The following is a 9,371-nucleotide window of genomic DNA, read 5'->3' as shown; positions in this document are numbered from 1 at the left end:
ATTCCAAAGGGGAAAAATATTAAAAATTGTAGTCATGATTTTTGTGTCTTAATTCTTTAAAAGAACAACCTAGGGCAAATGTGTGTTTTTATCTTCTAAATAGAAAGAAACTGAGAGGAGCTTTTTGACATTATTAAGTCCGTCATTAAGGCTCTTGGATTAACACGCTGCAGAGGTCCACTAATGGTGGTTTTGTTAAAAGAATTAATTGAAGAGGAGAAACTAATTGCTACACAATGGTCATCTAAAATATTCATCCATTACTGGCTCAAGGGATGGCCCACTGGGATGGCAATCACGGCACCAATGGGCTTTCTAGAATACTTGTTGGAGCTTACCCTAATTCCTAAGAGTCTTCTGGATCATTTACAGGCAACTATCAATTTATCATCAAATAATCTCAGTAAATCAGCCTACAATAAACATTATTAGAAAAAGAAAGAGAATGCTTGCAATAAAGTGGATTTCAGAGAGGGAATAACTTGAAGCACGCTGCATTGGCACAACATTCCTTTATGGCCAGTACTGTGTGAGCAGTAACAGAAACATCAGGCATTGAATGGAAACTACCTATGCATTCTCCATTTAAAAGTGTTTAATTTAGCATGAGAATTAACATATGCAAGTGGCATTATCAAGCACATTCTCTGAATTATTTGAAAGGCGTATTTTCATGGGTTAAAAAGCTTCACTTGTGACTATGATTACTGTGAAAACTAGCACTACCTGATACATCTCTCCAAAGCCAAATGAAATATTAAATAAAGACTCGACACAGGAGGGTTTAATTCTGGTTTCTCTGATAAAAGTTGTCTACTGAAAACTATCAAGAGTTCAATGGTAGGAGAAAGATACACTTGCAGGAAAAAAAAAATGAATGAATGAATGAATGAATGAATCCTTCTTGCTGGAAGTTCTCCACAATGTAGATTCTGTACAATTTTACATTGTCACTGGGCACTGTGAGCTCACTCTCCAAGTGGTGCCCTTTCAGTTCTGATACAAATCACTGTAAAGCAAAATGCAGTGCCCAGCTGGGAAAGCAGGTGTAAAATGGACCAACTAATTACAGCCTTGTCAAGTAATGGCTACAAGGCAACCAGTGACTGCCCTGCTAGTGAATTTTGGGTGATTTCAACCAATTGGATTAAGAAATAACAGAAAGGGAAAAAAAGCATATAAGCCACAGAGAGAGATGAGACCAAGATTGTAATGTTCTTTGATCAGAGAAGAGAAAGGGCAGAAGATTTTAGGAAATGGCCCATTAAGCCAAACATGGAAAGAAAAAGATGGATAGATTGTTTCAGGGCAACTTGGAGGTCTCTCACTTCGGTTTATTTGCTGGGACTGCTGAGTTAGACTGGATCAAAAAAGGGGCCCCAGATGGATAACAATGCTTGCTCATTTGCAATCCACACTGGTAGACTTAACAGGCTTCCCAACAATCTTTTAAGAAGCTATAACTATGAAAACTTCTATGGATTGCAACCAGAAACAACCTCTAGTATCCTGAAACATTCAACAGCAAACAAAGCCTGAATGTCTGGGACAACAGCCACATTTCAATTTCCAAATCTTGGGCCTTTACTTTAAAATCTTCACAAAATGCAAACGGACTCTAACTCCCAAAGGGAAAAGAAAGTTATTACCAGGATCTACAAGGCTGCTCACTCTCCCCAGTATTCTTTGCCTAGGGGCCAGGAACACAGCATTTTAGCAGAATCCTGCTCAGCGAAGTAGAGGACGTAGTCCAGATGGAGGAGTCACCTGCTTCCAGGCAATTCATAGACACAATTATTATTGTCTGGCTTCTATCCAGAACCAAAATAAGGAGTTTAATATGCTAGGTCCAATAACTATATTCCAGTTGATTCAGGAAGTTTTAGAGAAATAATACAATATTTTCAGGAAGGAGTTTCATTTGGAACTATGATGGTAAAAAAAAAAATACCATCAATACTTATAGTAAAAATTGTACTGCATTATTACATTGACATCAAATCATTCCTTTAGAAAATCTCCAAGTCAGGATTATCCTATAATATTTTAGAGTTTGTCTTTATGTATGTCAATAAAGATGCCAACAACAACTTCAACAAAAGAGACTGACTTATAAGGCAATCAACTGCTGCAAACATAGGTATGTGCACACTTGGAAAATAGATTATTTCAACTAGAGCCAAGGTTACTTGAGAATAACTCAACATCTGGGTAACTGTAATTCCTGTCTTACTAAGCTAATCAATGATATATGAACTAAAGATTTCTTAACAGAAATTATTTTTCCATTAGACTTGTGACCATAAATTGCTTATTATTTCCTACATGATAAGTAGTTTTCTAACACAGTAATTATTTTTTAAATAAAGAAGAAAAGTGTTCCTCTTCCTACACTGTTCCAAAAAAGCATTTAAAGAGGTATACAAGATTTTAAAAACAGATGAAAAAGTTGGGAAGGATGGCAACAGACATTTCCAGGTTGTGGTTCAGAACTATTGAGTCATACGTTGCTCCTTCCCCAATTCTGTATTCTCCCTGTATTCTATGATGTTGTCGCTAAAGAAAGTGTGCTAAAACATTATGTTTGTACCTACCATCCCTAGAAACATCCAGAACTATTGTATCCATGAGAGATATATGACATGCCATCATAAACATTAGCCAATTGCATTCTAATATTCTTATGGGCATGAAAGGCTCTTCAGGTTCAATGAACCAACATTTAGAATAAAAGCATGCTAAACACCGTGTTATTGGTAAAGTCTTGACAAATGAAGTTTCTTTATATTTTTAGGACAATATTTTGAAGGTGTATAAAAGACTAGCCTAAAATATTTTAGTAAAATCCTTTCTTCCTCTTTTTCTCACTCATGTAAATCACAGTCTCTCATGGACTAAGCATCTGCCCCAGGAGTCAAAGATGTATTTAGTTCCTTGAAAAATGTCTGTTGAGTGTTGAGTATGTGCTAGATAGCATGCTAGGTTCAGTACAGTTACCTGATGCATGGAAGGAGCCAACAGACAACTAGTTTCCTTGTGCTACCTCTGTCACATTCACTGACTCTATCCACTTTTGTGACCTCCCTTCCTGAGGATTAATACAGAATTTGAGAGGCAAGAGCTGATAGTAAACCAGAGGCTACTGCAGTAGAAAGTAGAGAGAAAACTGAGGGCATTAAAAGGTAAAAATAAGCATGTCTTGCTTATTGCTCACCTGATGGGTCATAGAAAGGGAGCTACCAAGATTCATTTACAGCTTTATAACTTGTATGACCCAGAGCACGATGATGCCATTCAATAAATAGGAAACACAAGCAGAGCAGTTGAGGGACAGGGATAGCAAATGTGAGCTCAGTTTTTAATGTGACATTTAAACTGCATTAAAACATTTACAGCAAAAGGTCTGCTAGAGTGTGAGATGTAGTTGTACAGGTCAGAAGAGTGAAGTGGATGGGAGGAGCAGACTGGGAGTTTTCAGTGATTAGATCATGGTTAAAGTAGGAGAGCATGTGAGATGAAACAGGAAAGTGACTGGAGAAGAAGTTGGCCAACACTGGAGCCCTGTGACGTATCAGCCCTTAAAGGACAGCCAACAAAAGAGGAGTGCATGTAAAAAGCTCAGAATAAAAATGCAAGAAAGATCTGTCTTAGCCTAGCTTCCCCCCTCTAACCAGAGCCTGAGATAATACCTTGGAGCAGATAGTTTATTTTGTTAAGTGATTCCAAATAATAGGGATGGGGAACTAGGGACTGTAGAACAAGGAATGGGAGAAAGTCAGTCCAAGGTGTCTTGTTGAGCTCACCACTGTTATGGGCAATGGGGAGTCGGTCCTACTACAGATCTCTAAGGAACCATGCAGAATGCTCCTCAAAGTTGTCCATGCCTTGAGACAGAAAGAGTGGGCATTTACCCATTCACAGCCTTCTGTTCCTAGTGGTTAACATGTGACCTTTGATTGTTAACTCTCTTGCACTTTTAGATTTGGTGGTAAGAGGGAAGTTGGTTCATGTGGTAGTAGGAAGGAAGCCCTGAGATATACACATATATATGAGGGAAGATGCTTCCAGTTTAGCAGTATGAGCAGGTAGGTGCACAGTCATAGCTGGAGTAAAAAAGAAGGGCCAAGAAAATAAGAGGTGGGGCACAAAAAGGTTTCATATGATCTATTCCTTGCTCATGCCCCATCCATCAAACACACTTTGATTTAGCAGCTGTCTGCAGTTGCTAAAAAATACTCAATATACAAGGGTAAGTAGAACAACCTACACTCCCAGCTAATGTCACCCTTTTGCCTTTGTTAATATTACCATATCTTTCTTCTACCACCCATTCTAGATTTCCCTCATCCTCAGTCAGCACTGAAGTGGGTTTATCTTGCTCACTTGCAGAAGGGCTGATTTCATCCATGAGGAGATGGAGCTCAAAGCTGTTTAACTCTGGTTGCATTGCGATTGCCGCAATTGCTCATTTATAGTTGTCATTGGGCAGGAAAATAGGTGTACTTCATGGAGTCTAATGGCAATCAACTTGTCACCAAATGGCTGCCTGGAATCCTCAAGGATAGAACCACAATGTGATCCCAGCTTTAACTTTTGGTGCTGTAAGTTAGCCACTCAGCAGTGCCAGTAGCACTGATGGACATTAGTAAGAAAGAGCCCATTTAGTTGGGCCCATGCATGTCTTCTTTCCCTGCTACCATGGTGTATTAGGCTAAATCCAATCAGGGAACAAAAATCATACTATAGTTTAAACAGGGAAAGTTTAATATAAAAATAATACATGGATATTTAGATAAGGAGGGATGGGCTAGTAAGAAATCAAGAGAATCCTAAAGAATACAGGAATAGCAAACAAAAGGACTAGACACTACTCCTAGGGGTGAGATAGAGAACCAAGAAGAGGCTTCCCAACCTCAGGGCTGAGATCAAACCTTGGAGAGGATATGCATGTGTCTCACTGGATGGCAGTAAAGTCACTATGGTATCGTACTAGGAGAACTTGCTGGAAATCTGCTCCCTGAAACTTGCTGGGAATCTGTTCCCTAGGGTTCTGGGGAAAGTTGTTCATGGACAAAGGTACCCCCTAGGCACTGGGCTATAAAACCACCAGAGTGGGGGAAGCTGCTGGCTGCTGGGTGCTGTTGGCAGCCCTGCACTGCTGGGACCAGAGCTGGAGAGACCAGCAAGCTATAGGAGTCTGCCAAGCAAGTACAATGGAACCAAGAAGGAACAGTGATTCCCCCTGCAATGTCTCTCCCACCCACTCCACTCCACTAACAAAGCTTATAACATTGTGCCACCTGGTAAAGGAAAACTATTTAAAGGAACCATATCTATAGTCACAAAGTAGGCAAAAAAGGTTGAATTTAGAGCTGGGAAGCAATAGCTAGATAACCAGCATACATACCCACACTGCTCATGGACCCATTGCAGAAGCATTCAGTCTCAATAGGAAGAAGCAGGCTGACATTCACAGCATGAGCCTACCTGGCTATCGGGTTTGTGAATGGTCCTCTGTGGAGAGCAGTCTCTGATAGATCTTAACACAAAATATAAGCATCCCTACACTTTGGGTCCATTCTCATTGTCCACCCACATGCTTTTTTCTAAGACTTCCTTATTTCCAGTCTTTCAATATTGCTTCCTCCTGTCCCTGGATCAACTGGCTAAGCCATTCTTTCCTGTGCAGGAGACTGTGCATCTGTACCTCAAATCATATCTACTTCCATACAAGCTTGCAGCTCTGCCCACTAGGAGAATTTCCCTTCACTACTATCTTTCAGGGTCACCTCCGAGTTGGATTATAATGTTACAACAGGACCAAGATATCAGGAATAACTCATCTGTGAATCAGACTGATGGTTTCCTTCTCTATTCGATATTCAGAAGGACTCCCACCAAGAAGCCACAGGTGCAAGTTGAGAGAGAATCATCAGTAGGAGAGTATAGCTGCTATAGGAATCTGGGCCATGCCACATGCTTGCAAAACGTACTTATGCCCCCCAGACCTGTTCAGTCTCATTTCTAAATGAATCATCTCCACCGTAGTATAATTGATTGCTACTGGAGTAGGCCAAACTTATGAGTTGTTGGACCTGATAACATCCAGCTCATGATGTTGCCTCTGATCTCACAGTCACTTAGTTTCTCATGGTGAGACACTCAGTCTTACTAATCCCAGGGGCCTGCCAAGAACTACTTCTCAACACATGAGCAGTTCTCTGCAGCAGAAAGCATGCCCTGCTTCAGAACCTAGGGATCTGTGCTAAACTCTGTACAACTGGGGCCTACCAGATGTGCGCACAGAATGTTTTTTCTCACTATAAAGTCCTCTAGCACCATAGACCTTCTGAGTCGCATGGCATGAGGCTGGAGCTGATTATTACAGCAATTGCTGGGATAAAAGTGAGCCAAGACAATGTAAGGTAATGCACAGAATGTGTTCAACACAGGCAGAAAAATAAGTAAAAACTGGGATCTCAGAAAGAGACACAAGACTTTGCAGGAAGAAGTGGCCGTCAGTGACAAATGTTGCTTTAAATTAAAATGCTTATTTTACATAAAATAAGGACAGTGAAAGGGTATGTTATGTTTAACAGCAAATAAGTCTTAAGTGACCTTGAGCGGAAACAAGTCAAGTTTGTGATGCAGGCAAAATGTAGGTTGGTAAGAGCTGAATTGAGCCGAGCTCAGCAGCAAGCCCTGGCAGATTCCAGGAACACCATGTTATTGATTCTCTCGGCACTCTGGAATAACCAGAGGGTCCTGGGGCAGCTGGATCCTCTGGAACCATCCCCATAGCTGCTGATAGGCTTGGCCATTTATCATCTTCTCTGTGTGCCATGACATGAAAAAAAAGTGAAACACTGGGAAGTAGAAAGCAAATAAAGTGGCTACGGGAAAATCTTTTTAAAAGATTAGTAGAGATGGACGGAGGGAAAACAGCTGTAGCCAGAACAAACTCAGGATTTAAAGGGGTTTGCTTGAATATTTAGTATAAACATATTTATTAGTATGTCCATGTGCTTACAAGAGAGAAAAAAATAAGAAAAGAAAAAAAAAAAAAAAAGAAAAACAACCATTAGGAAAAAAGAGGTAGAAGACCCAGGAACAAGTCAGACATGAGGAAAGTTCATTGGGAATCCATCCAGTACACTTGGTAGATAGATTATTCTCATATACAATGAAAGATTCTTTTTACAAAGTGAAAGTGTTCCAAGTAAGATTTCAGAACACACTTTTTGAATCTGAATTGCATTCTTATATAGCATCCAAACAAGGTGAAAACCTTCAAGGTTTTCTTAAGTGTGACTTGAGTGGGTTAAACAAGATGTTCTCAGTTCCTAAACTGTTCCCTGGATATTAATTAGAAGTTCATGGAAATAGAATATAAGGTGCACCATTTTGCTGGATAAAACTTAAAAGAGTTAATACAAACTCCAACAATATCTAGGGAAGACAATGGCCTAAAAACTAGCAGCAATATGTTGAAGAGGTAAAGTCATGGTAACCCCATATAAGATCTTGGTAAATCTAGAAAAACTGGCGTAACTAACCTCAGCTGATATTCTACAGTGATGGAAAGATTATTATCTGAAAATGTATTTGCTATTTCTACTATCACATCAGTTTTATTTGGCTTGATTTTATGAATTTATTGATATAATTGGGGCCTTATAGGCCAAAATGCTATTATATTAGATACCTGTTTTTCTTTCCATTTTATTGTAGCTATGTTTGCTTCTAAAGAAGTCATTGTTCAGAAGTTTTTTAAAAATCTGTTAATAGCTCTGTAAGTGTCTTTCAAAGTCCTTCTCTGCATAATTTTTGTAATGTTTGTAAAAATTAGTATCTACTTTTATTAGCCAGCATAGATTATATGTATATACCATATAATAATATCAGTGCCGATTTTATTAATATATAATATTAACTAATAATATTAATGTAATAATAGCCAGGATGGAATATATATATAATGTAGGTATGTGTATTTATATGTTAACCTATTATGCTATATATGCATGTATCATACATTGTTCCAAGCTTTTATTTTTGAATAGGCAGAGCTGACAAAAGTTCTAAAGATAGGACATTTTCACATTTGGCATTTTAGTCAGATTCTGCTTTCATTATCTCTGTTGATAGGTTCTGTTTTTAATCTTATTCTATCGATTCTATTTTTCTGTTTTGCACACTGACACTTTATTTGATTCAGGAAAATGCGTCTTTTTCTGTTTGTTTGTATTTCTTGGTATTAGTGTCTGTATGCTGTGCAGAGCTCATTTGAGAATTCCTCACTCCTTGCTAGATTAGATGCACAAGTCTCTATCCCATGAGCAGCTCAACTAGAATCAGTTTACCATAATATAATAAATACAATGTACTAGTGAATATGTAAAACATCATAAGCAAAATGACAGTCATGGTGAAATCTGACTATAAGAAACAATTTACAAAATAAAACGAAGAAAAATGAGGTTAATTTTGAAACTGATCATCGTTAGAGGAAGACAGTTACAATGGAGAGTGGCGGCAGAATGAGAGGGGAATTGGCAGGAAATAGCCACAGATTAGCAGGGAACACATTAGCTGGAATTGTAGAATACTACAACTGAAAGAAACTTAGAGATTATTTGGTCTGCTCCCTTCAATGCACAGAAGATGAAAGAAGTGAAGAGAGAGGTTTGCTGTGTTATTTCTAATATCAATCAAAGAACCTGATTTCAGCGTGATAGTCTCTCGGTATCAGTGGGGGAATATGTTCCAAGACCCCCAGTGAATGCCTGAAACAGTGGATAACCAAACCCTATATCTATTACGTTTTTTCCTTAGACATACCCATGATAAAATTATTTTATAAATTAGGCACAAAAAGAGATTAACAACAATAGCTAATGATAAAAAAAGATTATAACAATATGCTGTAATAAAAGTGATGTGAATGTGGTCTCTCTCAAAATATATGTTTGTATATAACTTTTTCAGGTGATAACTGTTATTATTTCCTCACTCTAGAGAAAATATACTCATGTATATTTGTGCATAATTAATTATAATGAAATAAATTAATATATTCATACTGATAAGCCTTTTTTGAACAGAAATATAACCTTACGTTCACATATTGTGAATGAAGGATAACTATATCAAATTAAAAAAACTATTTTTGGTGTAAAGTGTTAACCATGTTGTGTTAGGGCCAAATTTTTAAAATTATATTAATGACTAGACTCTCTATGACACGACTCCTGATAATTTACTGATCATAAATGTAAAATATTAGTCTTTAAATTGCATTCATCATTTTAAATTGTGCCAGCCAAGGTCTGTGTGCTATTAAATCCATAACATTTAAAAATATTCCCTCA

Source organism: Homo sapiens, chromosome 13 (genome assembly GCF_000001405.40).
Source record: "Homo sapiens chromosome 13, GRCh38.p14 Primary Assembly".
In the NCBI taxonomy this organism is placed as follows: Eukaryota; Metazoa; Chordata; class Mammalia; order Primates; family Hominidae; genus Homo; species Homo sapiens.
The sequence above is the reverse complement of the archived record's forward strand: the minus strand, read 5'-3'. Positions refer to the sequence as shown.